The sequence below is a fragment of the Homo sapiens genome, chromosome 8 (assembly GCF_000001405.40).
Source record: "Homo sapiens chromosome 8, GRCh38.p14 Primary Assembly".
Taxonomy (NCBI): domain Eukaryota; kingdom Metazoa; phylum Chordata; class Mammalia; order Primates; family Hominidae; genus Homo; species Homo sapiens.
The window spans coordinates 102,533,609-102,551,458 of NC_000008.11; the positions used below are offsets into that span (position 1 = coordinate 102,533,609).

Genomic DNA, 17,850 nt, shown 5'->3' on the forward strand with positions numbered 1-17,850 from the left:
AAACGACCTGGTTTGTAGGATTTGCCAATTACCATGGTGTAAATACTTCCACTATGGCCAATTTCAAGTTATTAGTGCGATATTTCTGAATATCAGGTTAAGAAGAGATGTGTACCATTGACTGAATGAGTATTTCTGAATATCAGTTTAAGAAGAGATGTGTACCATTGGCAGTGAGCTGAGATTGTGCCATTGCACTCCAGCCTGGACAACAAGAGTGAAACTCCATCTCAAAACAAAACAAAAAAGAAATGAAGGTAGAGCTATGATCTTTCTTATCCATATAGTTACAGGAAGGTCTTGGAAACATATAGTACATACTCAATAAACATTTGTTCATTGAATGAATGGATGAATGAGGTTTTTTTCTCTAAAAAGTTAGTCTGGTGGCACTAGTTCATGATGTGGTGGTCTCCACCAAGTCACAATCTGATATGGAATATCTGAATGTGCATGTTTGTGTTTGCATGTGTTTGTTACAGTTTTTAGAGACAGCATGTGAAATAGTGACCAAGAAAGGCTCTGGAGTCAGATTCCTTGGATTTGAACCTCAGCTCTGCATTTACTAGCTTCATGGCCTTGGAAACACTGCTTAATTATCTATGCCTTAGTTTTCTCATCAGTAAAAGGAGGATAACAATAGCACTCACTTTATAGGATAATTGTGAAGATTAAAAGAGCTATTCATGCAAATAACATCATAAATTTGCTTAATATAGTTCCTGCCGAGGCATCTGTTTTTAGGCCTGACATAAGTTATTTGAAACCTAGTCATACTCCATGACCTTTGGCCTAGTTACATCTTCCCCTTCCAGTGTGATTGTTTGTGCTCTAGCCCCATTATTCTATCCCATTGACACAAAACTCAACACAGCCCAGAACTGCTGGCCATAATAAACCTAATGGTCAATGCCAGAGTCATGGGTGTGGTGGCATGCACCCATAGTCCCAGCCACTCAGGAGGATGAGGTAGGAGGATCACTTGAGGCTGGGAGGTTGAGGCTGCAGTGAGCCATGATTGCACCACTGCACTTCAGCCTGGGCGACACAGCTGTGTGTTTTTTTGGTTTCAACAAACACTCAAAAAAGACATAGTCTCAAAGCCGTTGCTCCACCTGATGGCTGTGCTCCCCGCCACCTACAGACTTCCTGTTGGCCACCCACTGGGACCCCTAGCTCTTCTGGGACCTGTAAGTAATACATATCATGAATTTTGGTTTCATTTCCCCATTGTGGCCTACCTGATGCACACACCTGAACCTAACTTCACCGTCACCCACTCACACACCCCCACCCCCAACTCATACCCCAGTGCTCTCCTACAGAGTGGCTAGCTTGGCTTATGGCCACTCTCAAGAGAGAGACCCCAAGACCAAATTAGAAAAAATTGGCTGGGCACAGTGGCTTACGCCTATAATCCTAGCACTTTGGGAGGCCGAGGCGGGAGATCACGAGGTCAGGAGATCGAGACCATCCTGGCTAACCTGGTAAAACCCCGTCTCTACTAAAAATAAAAAAATTAGCCGGGCGTGGTGGCAGGTGCCTGTAGTCCCATCTACTTGGGAGGCTGAGGCAGGAGATTGGTGTGAACCCAGGAGGCGGAGCCTGCAGTGAGCCGAGATCATGCCACTGCACTCCAGCCTGGGCAACAGAGCAAGACTCCGTCTCAAAAAAAAAAAAAAAAAAAAAAAAAAAGAAAAGAAAAAATTACAACCTAACTTGATAAAGGTTTGCCATTTAAAGCTGGTAAAATATAAAAAAGAAATGTAAATTGAAAGCAAATGCTTACAGAATTCTCAGATTGCAGGGGACATAGTCTGAAAAATACCAGTTTAAGAGAAAATGAATGAGAGGGTTTGTGCAGCTCAAAGCAAAATGATCTCCTCCTTTGATTTGCTTGCTGAATTAGTCTCAGAGGATGAGTGTCCAATATGTACAGAAAGATGTTTTTAATTGGAGAATAACCTGGAAACTCCATGCTACTGAACTATGTGTCAGAAATGGTAACAAAAACCACTGAGGACTTACTCTGTGCTAGACCCTGAGATAAAGTATGTACTTAAATCTTTTCATTTAATTCTCAGAAAATGCCCAATGAAATTGGTATTTTAACCCCATTTCCAGATGAAAAAAATCAAGGCCCATGGCCCAGTTGAAACTCTTTTGAATGAAGTGGAGGAGGCAGGATCTGTGTGATTTGAGAGTCCAGGCTCTGAGTCAGGACTGCCTCCCGGCAACACACAACAGCAACAAACACAGAGTGCAATCTTAGGGAAATGCCAAGACCTTCACCTTGAGCGTGTGCATGCGCTGCTCTACAGAACCCAGGAGGCGCCTTCCGCCCACCCACAGGTACTACAGCACTAGCTCATCCACCCAGGGGCCTCTTCCCAGTGGTACCAGGTGGCTGTTCTCCTTGAATGTCAAAACACACAGCCCTTGGTTTCTGCATTTCCTTTGTCTTTGCCACCCACACCCACCCTCTCGCCTTGTACTTATTAACACCACAGGCTTACCCAGCACCTTTTATTTTTAGCATCTCAAAATGTTCGAACAAGACATTTTTCTTACTTTCATGTGCCTCTGCGTGGGAAAATCAGAATCACAAAGACTATTACCATCATAATGACTCTGATGGTTATGCAACAAACAATTCAAGATAAAAGGAGGGGAAAGGCCCTTCCAGGTTCTGGGGTTTTGCAGGATGGATCAGGTTCAGAACACAGCTGCATCTCTTCTGCCAAACCTGCTGACCTGGCCCTGGGACTCGGGACTTGCTGATCTGTGTGAAACAGCTTCTTCCTACCAGGGGTGTTATTGACAGGAGGGGAGGCCAGACAGCTGGGCTGCCTTGAAGTGATGCTTGCCCATGTTAGCCATTTTAACAGTCATTTAAAATTCATTTCAAATACTAGGGATAGCAGTTTGTCACTTTCCCTGTTGTTTTTTTCCCACAGACATATTAATATGGATGTGGCTAGCAGGTTCCAAGCTTTGAATTGTGCTCATTAAGTCACAGCTGGCTGGGAATACGTGTCAATCCCAGACCTTTATTTCTCAAGCCGGTTTTATAATGAAATTAAAATGGACTCCTCCAGACACCCCCTTCCCTGGAAGCAAAGCATTTGCCCCTCTGGGGAGTAGATGCTGTGTTCTGATATGCTCTTTTTCTCAAAAGAAATGCATAAGTAATTTCAGTAATTAAAACATTTAATTTGGTGATTACCCTCACAAAAAGAAACTGCACAAATTAACCCTGGGAGGGGAACATTCCATCCAGCTGTTTCAGCGAGGCCTTTTCTGCCCTCATCCGTGCCCTCCTTCCCTTCGAGGGAGCAGCCCACCTGCTTGGGATGTTCCCCCGTCACTCACCATATCCCAGTGTTCCCAGTGGAAGTGTGGCTGGCCAGATGGCCCCCGCTATTAGTCACTTTCCTCCGCTGAATTGCATGGCTTGACGTCTGAAACTCAGTATTTATTTGTAAAAGGAGCTAAGGAAAAAGCTGATTCATTGTTACTCCAGAGGAATTCCTTCAGGGAATGTAATACCCTTAAGGAGACCAGACTTCATGAAAGACATTTTGGCTTAAGCAGAACTAGCTGCATAAGTGAACTCACCTGGGGAGCTTGTTAAACGCAGTGGTTCCTGGACCCCACCCTGGACCTACTGAAACAGGAACCCGGGAAGGAGCCCAGGAATTTGAATTTTAACAAGCTCCAAGGTGATTAATTTGCAACCTGGATTTTGGGAGCCACTGAGATGGAGGACACCCACTCATCATCAGCGTGGGGGTGGGGTGTAACTGTGAGTCACTCAGGGAATGATGGGGTGGGGGGTCTGACCTTTAATTGGGTGCAGCTGAGCTCACCTGGCAGCCTGTGCTTCGTTTGCAAATGACAAATTAGAAAACGATGCACAATTAAGCTTTTCAAGAGGGAATTAATCAGTTCACCCCCTCTTGTACCTCAGAGCCAGCCTGTGCATCCCTGGGTAATCAGGAAAGTCACTGACACTCCCCATGTTATGTGGGCTGAAGGATGACAGAGCGGAAGCCCTCAGATGTTGTCTGTCAGCCCTTAACGAGAGAACAGGCTGGGTGAGTCCTGCAGCCTCAGCCAGGCTGGGTCCTAACTCTCAGGGGCTGCTGAGGAAGAGTGCAGCATACTCATTCACAGACGGTTTTTCTGTGGTTTCCAAATGCCATCCCAACCCTATGCCTGGAGCTAGGCTGGCTTACCAGAGCCACCTGGGGAGCAGACCAAAAACATAAATTCCTGTGCCACCGATTGGCTTGGAGGCTGGGCCTTGTAATCTGTATTGATAGCGATCCTCCCTGGGATTTGGGAACCACTGTGAACAGACAGGACTGCCTGCTGGATCATGAAGTTATTAGAAATAAACCCACAGAGAAGTCGATGTAAAGAAAAGCGAAAGCTCCAATGGCAGGAGCTTTGAGTGACCCTGCAGCCCGTGGAGAACACCAGAGGGCCTAACAAGGGGAAGACAGTCAATGAGGACTGAAAAGAAAGACGTCCCTTCAAAAGAGGCTGTGTGATTCACAATCGCTTGGCTCCCATTTAGCACCGGGCGCTTCCAGAAAATGACGGGGAGGGTGAGATGGAGAAGATTCTAATTGCACAGGCTGCTGTCTCTTGTGAGGGATTTTTTAAAAGGGGGTATTGCCAGTGCCGTGTAGTAACTGGATGCTCCAGGGTGTGGTGAGGAGGCGGGGGAGGCCCTGGTTTGTAATGTTTGCTGATTTCCTTGCCACCAGCATCACTTCACTGAACATGGAGTTGGGAAGAGACCTGCGCAATCGGTTCTTTCTGTTGGCAGGCGCCTCCCCCAGCACACCTCTGGATAGTTCCCCGTCTTCAGAGAAGAGCTTCCTGCAATTATACCGTAGTATCTGCAGCAGCATCACCAAAATGTGGCCATACTGGAATCCCTGAGGCGGAGCAGCTGGACCCGAGGGCTCACTGATTGTGCGGTTGGGAGCGGGCGTCTCGCAGGCTTGCAGAGATCAGCTTTTGTTGCGCCAGGAGCTGATGCTTAATGGCCAAGCCTGCCTAAGGCAGAGCCCAGTTTCCTAAGGAAGCGGGGAGAAGCAGAGGAAGCAGGAGCTAAGAATTTCAGGTGGGGAAAGGGGTTCCTTTTGAATTCAGCTAGGAATCGCTCATAAAGACGAAGAGTTCACAATAAAGGAAATGGAGATGCTGCGGGCCGCCCCGGTACACTGACAAACCGATTCTTCACAGTTTGCTGCAGCCAGAGGCAGAGGGCAGGCTCTGCACAACCTGACTTGGAGTGGAATGGAAAATATCCAATTAATCATTCAAATTTGTGTCTAAGGAACCATGATACTCAGTTATGAATTTCAAGCACTTTTAAAAACTGCTTTTGGGAGAGATGTAAAACCTGTCATTGAAATAAAATTAGCAAATATTTCCCCAAGTAAGTTAAAATGTGTCAGGTAAATAATGGGAAGACAGAAGAGGTTTCTGGGAAATATTTCATTTGTGTAACTGAAGAAACATTGTAGGAGGTGATGGGGGAACAACACGCACAAAAATGCAGAGCCCGGGTTTGAGGGAAATATCTTTCCCCTTTTTCTTGGCCCTCATGGAGAGATGCTTGGCTCTGAAATGGAAACTAGCCACTTCGTACAACTCAGTTCCTATGTCCCATTAACGTGCTGAGCACATTAGGTGTGAAAAGCAAGGAGTGGAAAGACAGCAGAAAACATGGACTGCCGTATTTTCAAGTCCCTTTCTGTCTTGAGAACCCCTGCCCAGGGTGTGTGAGTGCTTTTGGGGTGGGGGTGAAGGCATGCTAGGAAAATACCATTTTATTTTTAAAAACAAGCAAACAAGATCCTGCCATATAATGTGCTACTAAAAATATTTGCTCCTGGCATTGACTGTCAAGCAGTGGCATGCTGCAGCCAGCTTGCGTTGGCTCATAAAAGCCAATGGTACACATCTCTTCTTAACCTGATATTCAGAAATATCACACTGATAACTTGAAATTGGCCATAGTGGAAGTATTTACACCATGGTAATTGTGAAATCCTACAAACCAGGTCGTTTGTCCTTGGAGAACTGGTTGTTAAAGATCTATCATCACAGAGCTGCTGGCAGGTTATCCTACTGAGAGATCGGATCATAACCATGTATATTAGTCAGCTTGGGCTGCCATAACAAAATGCCACAGTCTGGGTGGCTGATACAACAGCCATTTATTTCTCATAGTTCTGGAGGCTGAAAGTTCAAGAGTAAGGTGTCAGGGAGTTTGGTGTCTCCTGAGGGGAGGCCTTTTTCTTTGGCTTGCAGGCAGTTGTCTTCTTTTTTTTTTTCTTTTTTTGAGACAGTGTCTCCCTCTGTCACCCAGGCTGGAGTGCAGTGGTGCAATCTTGGCTCATTGCAACCTCTGCTTACTGGGTTCAAGCAATTCTTGTACCTTAGCCTCTGAAGTAGTTGGGATTACAGATTGCAGGCACCTGCCACCATGCCTTGCTAATTTTTTTTTTTTTTTTAGATGGAGTCTTGCTCTGTTGGCCAGGCCAGAGTGCAGAGTGATTTTCCTGCCTTAGCCTCCTGAGTAACTGGGATTACAGGCACATATCACCATGTCCAGTTAATTTTTATACTTTTAGTAGACAGGGGTTTCACCATGTTGGCCAGGCTGGTCTTGAACTCCGGGCCTCAGGTGATCTGCCTGCCTCGGCCTCCCAAAGTGCTGGGATTACAGACGTGAGCCACTGTGTCCGGCCTAATTTTTATATTTTTAGTAGAGATGGGGTTTCACCATGTTGGCCAGGCTGGTCTCAAACTCCTGACCTTAGGTGATCTGTCCACCTCAGCCTCCCAAAATGCTAGGATTGCAGGCATGAGCCACTGTGCCCAGCCATGGTTGTCTTCTTGATGTGTCCTGGTGTGGCCTTTCTCTGTGTGCACACATCCCTGGCGTCTCCTCCTCTTCTTCTTTTTTTTTCCTTGAGACGGAGTCTCACTCTGTTGCCCAGGTTGGAGTGCAGGGGCACGATCTCAGCTCACTGCAACCTCCACCTTCTTGGTTCGCGTTATTCTCCTGCCTCAGCCTCCTGAGTAGCTGGGATTACAGGCATGCACCATCATTCCTGGCTAATTTTTGTATTTTTAGTAGAGACGGGGTTTGACCATGTTGGCCAGGCTGGTCTTGAACTCCTTACCTCAAGTGATCCACCTGCCTCGGCCTCCCAAAGTGCTGGGATTATAGGCATGAGCTACTGCACCCAGCCTCTTCCTTTTATAATGACAGCAGGCATGTTGGATTAGGGCCCTACTCTTATGACCTCATTTAACCTTAATACCTCTTTAAAAGTCTCATCTCCAAATACAGTTACGTTGGGGGTTAGGACTTCAACACATTGATTTTGAGGTGACATAATTTAGTCCACAACACTATGTGACAGGCACTTGGGGAAGATGCATTTTATTTTCAGGGAAGTGGTATTTCAACTCTGAAGGGAGAGAATTTCAAGGCATTTCAAGCCCTCTAGCATGGTGGAGCAGGAAGGGGGAGACTTCTGTGAAGTAAAGGAGTGTTCTTGCTGGCAGTGGTACTGTTAGCCACGTAGCTGTTAGGCAACAGTCGTCTGCTCCCAGGGAACCCTGGAAACCCCTGATGCTAGATCCTGACTCTGGCAGGGAGAAAGGCAGTGGCCATCAGACTTGTTCCCAAAGATAGAACCATGAGGAAACACATACTCTGAAATTTTCCATTTAAGTATGAGTAAATAGATTAGTAAAGACCCGCTGAGCACCATAATGATAGCAATGACCTTTCACAGTAGTAAGGAGTGAGCATGCGGCAGGGTTGCAATCGGAATGAAGCTCAGGACTCTGACAGTTGTGGAGTGGACAGTCTCTCATCAGCTGTAACTCAGGAAGCATGTAGCCTTGGTTGTTGCTATCAGCTCTCTATGAGCAGGAGGGAAGCAAGCCTGAAAAGGAATCCAACAGAGGAGGGTAGAGAAATGAGCTAGAGTCTCAATCAAATAATGCCTGCCTCCCTGATATACAGACAAGTGGATTTTGTATGTTAATTATGTAAGTCAATATGTTCCTTTTATTGTCTAGTCCATTTTTCATGGAGTTCTGTTCCTTATAATAAAAACAGTCTGAAGGGTGATAATCCAGGAGTGCTCTGTGTATGTGTGGGAGGAGGGTGGTTTATGTAACCTGAGTGCACTGGTTCAGTGTGTCAGTGACATTATCATACATCTATTCAAATCACTCATTCTTTTTTTTTTACCTCCTCATTGTGTGTGATTCAGCAGTTAGCTGGGGCACCTCTGGCCCTGGCAACTGATAAGCTAGGCCCCACTGCGGGATCTCAAGGCAGTCGCTGAGATCTCTAGAGGAGACTGGCATCTCACAGTCACCTCTCAGCCTGAGCTGCTGGTCACATTTAGCTCTGCTCATGGCCCCTCCCCATCTCCCGCATGCAATCTTCTGTTCCATACCAGCTTGATGCCACCATGAACCTTAGCTCAGGCTTTGATTTTTCTTGGAAAAAACTCCACTTATATAAGTGGTCTGTGAAATATGCTAGGTGTTACTGAACATTTAGGAGCCAGACCTAACAAAATACCTAAATGGATCACAACTTGGCTGAAGACAGGATCCTACTACATATGATTTTTTTCCATTTCTTTTCTTTTTTTGAGACAAAGTCTCAAAAAAGTCACTATGTTGCCCAGACTGGTGGCTGGTCTGGACCTCTTGGGCTCAGGTGATCCTCCCACCTCACCCTTCCAAGTAGCTGGGACTACAGGTGTGCACCGCTGTACTCCAGGTACATACAGTTCCTCTTCTTGTTCTTTCTTCCTCCTCTCTCTCCCCCTCCTCCTCTCCCTCCTCCCCCTCCTCCTCCCACACCCACCTCCTCCCCCTCCTCCCCCTCCCCTTCCCCCTTCTCTTCCCCCTCTCCCTCCTCCTCCCCCTACTCCTCCCCTCCTCCTCCCCCTCCTTCTTCTTCTTCATCGTCATCATTGTCATTGTCATCATCTTGTTCTGTCACCCAGGCTAAAGTGAAGAGGCATGACCACAGTTCACTGTAACCTCCACCTCAAGGCCTCAGGTGATCTTCCCACTTCAGCCTCTCAAGTATCTGGGACTACAGGTGTGTGCTACCACATCCAGCTAATTTTTAAATTTTTTGTAGAGGCAGAGGTCTTCCTATGTTGCCCAGGCTGCTCTCCAACTCTTGGGCTCAAGTGATCTCCCTGCCTCGGCCTCCCAAAGTGCTGGGATCACAAGCGTGAGCCACTATGCCTGGCCCAGTTTTGAAATTTCACTTATAACCGGGAAACTTCTCTCCTCCTTTTTTCTTTATTTTTATTTTTAATAGAGATGGGGTTTTGCCATGTTTCCCAGGCTGGTTTTGAACTCCTGAGCTCAAGTGATCCGCCTGGCTTGGCCTCCCAAAGGGCTGGGATTAGAGGCGTGAGCCACTGCACCTGGCCCCTCCTTCTTTCTTTTACACGCTCACATGTGTATGCACACACATTATTCACAACTGGATTTTGAGCTCTTAATTTCAACTTCCTTCTCTTTTCAGATCCACAGTTGCTATTGACCTTTGAGGTATTTACTATAAGAATGAATGGAATAATAAATTAGTGAATGGTTAAAACAGGAGCACCCTCATTGGAGAGCAGGTCCCAGAAGCTGTGAAGAACCCAGGGCTCCATAGTTACAGAGGGTGGTCCACAACGGCAGCCTTGCTTTCTGCATTCAAGAGCCCTCGGCCCATGTCCCCCATTGCCAGGTTCCTGGAAGAGAGGACTTGGTTGATCCAGCTGTTATTGGGTTCTCTCTTGGTGCAGAAACTTGCACCCGGTGGGGGGCAGGTCATGTTTTAGAAGGATTCCTGTCAGAGCTCCTCCCAACCCCTTCCCCATGGGTAGGGGTTCAGTTTTTAAAGAAGGGAATTGCTGGATGGACAGATTTCCCAAAAGCTCTTTAACAAAGTTCTGCAATGTGAGACTGAATTGCTTTAGGAAAAGCAAAGTGATTGTGGCTTTGAGGCACTGTGCAGCTAGAACTCTGAATTAAAGCCGTGAGTCTCAACATGTGATCCCCAAAACCCTTTCAGGGGTCTGAGAGGTCCTTCCTTCATCAATTGCACATCTGTGTAAGGCTGGATTTTCTTCTGTATTTAAACCAAAAAAAATATTGCAACAGATTGAAGGCAGAAGATATTTCAGCTGCCCTCTGTGAAACCAGACATTAGAAAATGTAAAAATGTAAAACAATGCCCCCGTTCTCAGTTTTTTTTGAAAACACGATTCCCATAAAAAGATATTATTTGTGCTAACATGTAATGGGTTCACTGTCACTGATTTTTAAATGAATACATATTTTGTATATTTCTCAGTTTTAATTCCTAATATGGTCCATATCGATAGATAAAACCTACATAACAAAAAGCTCTTTGGGATCCTCGATAGTTGTTAAGGATGTCAAGTGGTCCTGACACCAAGAAGTTTGAGATACTAAATGAGAAGAAGACAGGTTTCACGCTCCCCTGTCTGTCTTCTTTTCTGTCCCCTCCTCCTCCTCGGGCCATCCAGTCCCGCTATTCATAGAGACCCTGGGTCTTGTCCTCTCTCCAGCTTTTAGCACCAGGAGCCCCACCTTGTTCTTCCCCTGCTGGGCTCCTGCGGGGAGTTGAGAAGGAGTCAGTGATCAGAATGTACTTCAGCTCCTGGGAGCTTTACCTAGAAAGCTGAGTCAGACAGAACAGTAGGTAAAAAGAGGGCTTTGGACTCCATGTTCTCTGCTTAAAAGCAACCCCAGCTGGAGGTAGAAAATTTGGGTAGAAAATCCATTCCCCATGCAGAGAACCCCTGGCAGAATGGCTCTCCGCTGTGAGGATGTTTTGTTCTGAAATTTTGGTATGCATTGACAAAGACAGTAGATGCTCCTCTACAAAATAAGCATCCACGCCATGCAAGGGAAAGTATTCTTGGCGAGAAATGTTCCTTTGGGAGAGAGGAAAACTTCTACTACCAAGAGGAGAGAGGAGCTGTGAATCACTTGCAGGGGCAGGTAGGAAGCAGCCCCACCCATCACAGGGTGGCTGCAGGCGGGACACAGGGGTGTCATGGAGCAGAAAAGCACTTTACTCCATCTGAACAAAAATGTGCAGCAAGTCCAGCTCTAGGTGTGCAGATAATGATCAAAGCACGGAACCTGAAATCCTAATGTTTGAGTTCAATTTCTCCTTCATCTTTAAGGGGTAAAGTCAAGTGAAATTTTCTTCTCAAGGATCATTACTCTTCCAAGACAAAGCGCTGACTGCCCATGTGGAGCCCTGGCTCTGCCACTTCCTGTGTGAATGTTCTGCCTCAATGTTCTTGTCTATAAAATGGGGATCATAACTGGCCGGGCGTGGTGGCTCACGCCTGTAGTCCCAGCACTTTGGGAGGCCGAGGCAGGCAGATCACAAGGTCAGGAGTTCGAGACCAGCCTGGCCAACATGATGAAACCCTGTCTCTACTAAAAATACAAAATTTAGCCAGGCTTGGTGGAAGGTGCCTGTTATCCCAGCTATTTGGGAGGCTGAGGCAGGAGAATTGCTTGAACCCGGGAGGCGAGGGTTGCAGGGAGCCGAGATTGCACCACTGCACTCCAGCCTGGGTGACAGAGCGAGACTCCGTCTCAAAAAAGAATAAAAACAATGGAGATAATAATAGTCCTACTTCATGAGGTCATTGTGAGGATTAGCCTGGCACAGACTCAAGCACTCATTAAATGTAAATATCATTATTAGTCAAGTAAGCATCTATTAAGAGATAGGCAGTTGTGGTGGTTGTAGTGGTAGGAATATAATATTTTTTAAACTCCCTCAAGTTAATCAGGCCACCAGCTGTGACAGAAGCAAGCCCTTCTGTTCCTAGGTAAACATGAAAATGTGCTTTTATGTTTGAATGACTCCAGTGTGAAGTTGAAAAAAAAATTTGGAGTCTCTGTTCTCATCAAGAACAATATAGACAGCCGCTAATGATTTTTCTTGGAGAATTCATGAGACTGAAAGCAAGGAGGGGGAAACACACAAGTGCAGGTGAGAGGGTAAGAAAGAGAAGAAACTATAGTTGTCACAAAGAATTCAGAACTTCTAATAAGACTTTTGGCCGGGCACAGTGGCTCACACCTATAATCCCAGCACTTTGGGATGCCAAGGTAGGAGTATCACTTGAGGCCAGGAGTTCGAGGCCACCCTGTGCAACACAGAGAGATCCTGTCTCTAAAAAAAACAAAAAAACACTCCTTACTACCCTTAGAGGTTGCAAGGAAGGAATGCAAGTTTGCATCCCAGATATGGGTTCAGTCCTGGGCAAATCAGAGTGATTGGTCAACCTAACACCCCCATGTACTCCTCAAATCTTTTGTTTTGTTTTGTTTTGTTTTTGAGACAGAGTTTTGCTCTTGTCACCTAGGCAGGAGTGCAGTGGCGCGATCTTGGCTCATTGCAACCTTGGCTTCCTGGGTTCAAACAATTCTCCTGCCTCAGCCTCCCAAGTAGCTGGGATTACAGGCACGTGCCACCATACCAGACTAATTTTTGTATTTTTAGTAGAGACAGGGTTTCACCATGCTGACCAGGCTGGTCTCAAACTCCTGACCTCAGGCGATCTGCCTGCCTTGGCCTCCCAAACGGCTGGGATTACAGGCATGAGCCACCATGCCTGGCCTAGTCCTCAAATCTTAATGAGGAACTTATTCATGTATTTATTTGGTATGTAAAATTCACATGATTCTTTCTCAATATCTGAATGATCTGCTGCAAGCAAAAGGAAAGCACACTCTGAACTGCTCTAGAGCTTTTAGACCCCACCAGGAGAAAGCAGCCTTTCCTCTGTAGTAACTTGGACCCTCAGGTTCACTTCTGTTGGGTGCAGCTGTAAGAGAATATACGAACACCCTCCTCCTCCTTATCCCTCACTGTATTTAGCAGGAAGATATTTGCTAAAGACCTTGTGGGCTGGGGAGAAAAGGGGGAGAAAAAATTACGCTAATCAGTATGGTTAGTCATAGGCGTATTGGCTATCCACACCAATAAGAGGGCATCTCAACCCATACACAAGCCCTAATTTCTTCCATACTTATCTGCCCGGGGTGCTATAGCAGAGATTTTCTACTTGAGTAGGAAGCTCTCTGGATGACTTGGGTTTTCCAAAGCTAAAGTTCTGAGATTCTGGCACCAGTGAAGCCTCTCTGGCTCCAGGGACAGTGTTCATGTAGGGGTCTTCCTGGGGATTTTCAGCCATTTTCCCTAGTGTGGGTCACTGTCATTGATCCATACCCACAGGGCCTTCAGGATGGCTGCTGCCCTGATGCAGCTGGATCTGGGTTAAGAGGGAGGAGCTGGACTTGCTTGGGACAATGTCCACTGGAGCCACAGCTGACTTGCAAGGTCAGCCTGGAATGGCCATCTGTGGGTAGATCCAGGGCACAAGCTGTCATCTCAGTTGGGTTCTTTAAATACGAGAAACAGAAACTGACTGGGTAACTGACTGGGAGCTTATTGGAAAGATGTGCAGGAGCTCTCAGGCCCAAAGAGAAGCCAGGGACCAACTTGAAAATTATGGAACAGGGCAGTAACTAAGGTGTAGTCTCCTAGGGTGCACTGTCAGAATGAATCAGCTCCAACTGTCTTCAGGCTTTATGTCTCTCTGCTAAAGATCAAATTCCCAGAAGACAGTCAGATCAGCCAGCTTTGGTTTCATGCCTGCCCTTTGGCTAGGCAACTTACTGGCAGCACTTAATGGTGGAGGGTGGGAGTGGGGAGCGGAGAAAGTTATTTTACCAAAAGAAGATGCCATGGATGATGGACAGACCAAATTCCAGATGTCCATTCCAGGGAGACTTCCCCAATGGCCTGCTTAGGGGGATGGCAGGGGCCAAAGGTGGGCTTAGCGATTCAGTACACAGCTGATTTCTTGAGAGTACAATATCAGAAAGTGTTTCATTATAAAACTGGTGATATCCTCATAGAAGAAATTTGGAAATCACAGAAAAGTCTAGAAAAAATAATTTTAAAAGCCATCTATGATTCTACTAGCCAGAGTTAACCACAGCTAATTTTTCAGGGTGTTTCTCTCCTTTTTTTTTTTTTTTTTTTTGTGACAGGGTCTCACCCTATTGCCCAGGCTGGAGTGCAGAGGTGCAATCATAACTCAATGTAGCCTAGAGCCTCTGGGCTCAAATGATCCTCCCTCCTCATTTTCCTGAGTAGCTGGGACCATAGGCATGTGCCACCATACCTGGCTAATTTTTAAATATTTTTGTAGAAGATGGGGTCTCACTATGTTGCCCAAGCTGGTCCCAAACTCCTGGCCTCAAGTGATTCTCCCCACCTCGGTCTCCCAAAGTGCTGGAATTACAGGTGTGAGCCACCACACCTAGCCTATGGATTCTTTTTTACAGAGTTCAGGTCACACTGTGTGTATACTTTCATATTTGATGTTTAAGCACTGTGTACTGACCTAACAACTGTTAGAAAAGTGTCTTTGTAACATTGGTCTGGTGACGAGACTTGAGCTGTAGCTGTGCTACCTGCTGGAAGAGGCAGAGGGGACCTTCTTTGGCTCATGATTTCACCAACATTGGGGACCAAGCAAGTGTTGCCCAACTTGGGAAAGTGTCAAGACCTGCCTTCCATCCAGAGGAGGTTCTATCCGGACACCAGCCAAGGTGAATGAGAGATTCCATGGACATAGTCCTGCATACGGAAGGTCCTAGTTCCATATTAGAATCCATATTAAAATCCTTCTGATATGAATAGATCACATTTCCATCTCATCATTAAAGAAGACACTACCTTTATTTAGTCACTTAAAATGATAAGAATATACTTCATGATGAAGAGTAAAATCACTAGGAAGGGACAGGAGTGGTGACTCATGCCTGTAATCCCAGCACTTTGGGAGGCCAAGGTGAGCAGATGGCTTGAGCCCAGGAGTTTGAGACCAGGCTGGGCAACATGGTGAGACCCCATTTCTACAAAAAATACAAAAGTTAGGCAGGCATGGTAGTGCATGGCTATAGCCCCAGCTACTGGGGAGGCTGAGGTGGGAGGCTCACCTGAGCTCAGGAGGTCAAGGCTGCAGAGAGCACATGCCACTGTGCTCCAGCCTGGGTGACAGAGTAAGACCCTGTCTCAAAATAAAAAAAGAAAAATCACTAGGAAGGTGGGATAATGGGAGAATCCTAGTTGAAATATAGCTATACCCATCTTAATAATGTACCATGTATACACAGATGTGTGTATTTAGGCACCTGAACTTGTGTATATAATAATATTAAACTGAGAGCTTGCCTGCTTCAATCTTTGCTGACATTTGCTAAGGGATAGAATTCAAGGTGATATAAGAATTCTCTGTCACCTGGAGCTAGAGAAATCTGTACAACTCCTGCAATTAACTCTCAGGAAAGAGTAGGCCATATTTCTATTAATAGGGTCCACCCCTCAGAATCAAATCACAGTGGAATCACTTTTAAAGAGGTCAGAATTTGTCCATAGAGGAGAATCATTCAGCTTTGCTTTTTGACTCATTCCACGTGACTCAAGGGGCCAGCCTCTCATTCTAATGCCTCTAGGGACACTTGTTTGCTAAGACACATTATCTGCACAGAAAAGGGCCTCCTAAGTCAAGGCTGGGGAACATCGAGCCATTGGGAATGCCATGCTTGGTCTAGTGACTCCCAAGGGACTCCAGCTGAGGGGGCTGTCGCCCTCTGTTACTCCTTCTATGAGCCTTTCATGGACTCCTTCACTCTCCTCATTTCTACTTATTTTTCCCTGGGAGTCGGCTTCAGCTCTCTTTTTAAATTCTGAATTATCTTGCCTGTTTCCAGGGTTCCAACTACCTATGGAATTGTGGCTTCCTAATTTATATCTCTAGCCCAGGCTTTCCTCAAATTCCAGACCCTCTTATCCACAGAATACTCCAGATTTCTACCTTAAAGTTGTCACCAGCACCACCTGTTCACCAAATCCCCAAACTTACTCTTCTCCCTGTGTTATTTTTATCTCAGTGGCACCAAGAGTCTGCCAAGCTTGAAAGCTGGAAGTCACCACTGATTCCTCCCTCACTCCATCCTCACTCTGTTCACTAAATCCTGTTGAATTCACCCAGATGGTCATTCAGTGAGTACATTTCAAGCACCTGCTATGTGCCAGGCATTGTGTTAGGTATCTACTGCGAAGCAAAAATAGACAAGGTCCTTGCCCTCGTGGCTTACAGTCCAGCTGGGGAAACAATATCATGAAGGAAATGTATCCTAAGTTAAGAGAGTGTTTAGTCTGGGAGACAGAGAAGGCTTCCCCAAGAAAGGGGGAGATCTAAAGGGTGCCTTAAGAATTAAATGGATGAAAGTCATAGGTGGGGAGTTCAATTTCTAAGCAGGCAGAACGTCCTGTGTATGAGCTCTGAATGAGGTGGAAGGAATGAGGAATGTCCTTCAAGGGACTAAGGAACGGCCTCTGGAAAGTGAGTGGTCTTCCAGGAAGGCCATCGTGGCTGAGGGGTAATGAATTGCAATAATACTAGGATGGGAGAGGAGAGTGGGGAAGTGGGAGAGGCCCCATTGCTCAGCACCTGGTAAAGATTTTGGTCCTTTTTTTGAGAGGACAGAGAAGACTTTTAAGGTGAGTGGGATGATGGGTGGGGAAGGTTGAGGAATGACAGATTTCTATATGAAAGTCGCTGTGGCTACAATGTGGAAAATGGATTAGATGGGGCCTGGGCAGAGGTGGGGGAAGGCTTTCCCATTGGCTTCCTCCTTGCCATCCCCATAGCCATGATCCCCAGTCCAGATTTTTGTTGTCTCTTCTTGTCTTGCAGCAGAAAACCCCACTACTATTGTCCCTAGCAACTTACCTTCAGTGTGGCTGTCTCACTTCTGACAAAAGAAAAGAAAATCAACAATCCTTCGTTGGGCTCAAAATAAAGTTCAGAGTCCTTAGTCTGGCTACAGGTCCCTTCAAACCTGGCCCTTGTCTCCCTCACCAGTGTCACATCCAACCACTTGTCATCAATACCTGAGCTCTAGTTCATACAAGGGAGACTCGAGAGCTGGACCGCAGTTTGAGGTGAAAGGACCAGAGGAGTAGAGGCACCGAGAGCCAAATCTGAGGCCGAATCAGAGGTCTAGGATGTTAACTGAACAGAAAGTAAAGGAAACTGGCCGAAGCGGGGGTTTCAGGCAGTTGGCTTCCAGCATCTTCAGGCGGTTGGCTACAAGAACATCAAAGACCAACATTTGGGAAGCACTCAGGGACAAGACATCCGGAGGCTTGGATGCAAGACCAAAGGTGTAGTTGATGGGAGGTAGTTCCCCAGGACAGGCCCCCGAGGACTGACAGATGGGAGCTTAAGGACAGGACCCCCAACCAGTAGAGAAATGAGGTTCCCGAACAGCCATGACCACAGCTGGCGCAGAATGGGCAGGACTCAGAGACTTGTAACTCAGAAGGTCAAGGACAATGGCTGACTTGAGGATGACTTGGTAGGAGGAGAATGATGAGAACATTCTTTATATTCTACCTGTCTGGAGACAGAATGAATTCTAGAACAAAAGGAGCAAGGCCAAGCTTCCAATCAAGGCTAGAGCTAGAAGGTCATGGAGAAAGGCGTGGGCAGCTCCTGCCTTCGCCTGCACCAAGTTCAACAAACACACAGTCATAGCCATGGCTGGTCCCCAGAGCACACACAAGGCAAGGATGTTAGTGGCCAGCCCCATGCACCCCGATGAGCTATGCTCGCTTGGGAGACCCATCCTCCTTGAAGGTGAGTG

At 46.4% G+C, this 17,850-nt stretch overlaps 2 long non-coding RNA genes across 2 annotated transcripts, besides 7 other annotated features; one reads left to right on the top strand and one right to left on the bottom strand.

Annotated features, from left to right (window-relative positions):
- The first annotated feature begins 1,001 nt into the window (after nt 1–1,001).
- Nucleotides 1,002–16,988, top strand: LOC124901998 (uncharacterized). The gene is made up of 3 exons (XR_007061039.1): nt 1,002–1,190; nt 16,090–16,201; nt 16,899–16,988. It is a non-coding gene; the product is annotated as an uncharacterized LOC124901998 (long non-coding RNA).
- Nucleotides 1,843–2,756: an enhancer, noted in NCBI's record as "OCT4-NANOG-H3K27ac hESC enhancer chr8:103547679-103548592 (GRCh37/hg19 assembly coordinates)". NCBI's record gives its function as "activates a minimal SCP1, AML or CMV promoter by ChIP-STARR-seq in naive H9 embryonic stem cells {active_cell/tissue: H9 hESC(naive)}" and the evidence as "EXISTENCE:reporter gene assay evidence [ECO:0000049][PMID:30033119]".
- Nucleotides 1,843–2,867: a biological region, named in NCBI's record as "Sharpr-MPRA regulatory region 8570".
- Nucleotides 1,997–2,096: an enhancer, noted in NCBI's record as "active region_27762". NCBI's record gives its function as "activates an Ori minimal core promoter by ATAC-STARR-seq in GM12878 lymphoblastoid cells {active_cell/tissue: GM12878}" and the evidence as "EXISTENCE:reporter gene assay evidence [ECO:0000049][PMID:35858748]".
- Nucleotides 2,573–2,867: a silencer, noted in NCBI's record as "tiled region #8570; K562 Repressive non-DNase unmatched - State 23:Low". NCBI's record gives its function as "represses a minimal TATA promoter and a strong SV40 promoter by Sharpr-MPRA in K562 cells {active_cell/tissue: K562}" and the evidence as "EXISTENCE:reporter gene assay evidence [ECO:0000049][PMID:27701403]".
- Nucleotides 2,862–4,061: an enhancer, noted in NCBI's record as "CDK7 strongly-dependent group 2 enhancer chr8:103548698-103549897 (GRCh37/hg19 assembly coordinates)". NCBI's record gives its function as "activates an origin of replication core promoter dependent on BRD2, BRD4, P300/CBP, MED14 and CDK7 cofactors, with strong dependence on CDK7, by STARR-seq in HCT116 cells {active_cell/tissue: HCT116}" and the evidence as "EXISTENCE:reporter gene assay evidence [ECO:0000049][PMID:35650434]".
- Nucleotides 2,862–4,227: a biological region, named in NCBI's record as "CDK7 strongly-dependent group 2 enhancer GRCh37_chr8:103548698-103549897".
- Nucleotides 3,933–4,227: a silencer, noted in NCBI's record as "tiled region #778; K562 Repressive DNase unmatched - State 8:EnhW". NCBI's record gives its function as "represses a minimal TATA promoter and a strong SV40 promoter by Sharpr-MPRA in K562 cells {active_cell/tissue: K562}" and the evidence as "EXISTENCE:reporter gene assay evidence [ECO:0000049][PMID:27701403]".
- Nucleotides 7,459–17,020, bottom strand: LOC105375684 (uncharacterized). The gene is made up of 2 exons (XR_928478.3): nt 16,935–17,020; nt 7,459–7,985 (listed from the first exon to the last, which is right to left on the bottom strand). It is a non-coding gene; the product is annotated as an uncharacterized LOC105375684 (long non-coding RNA).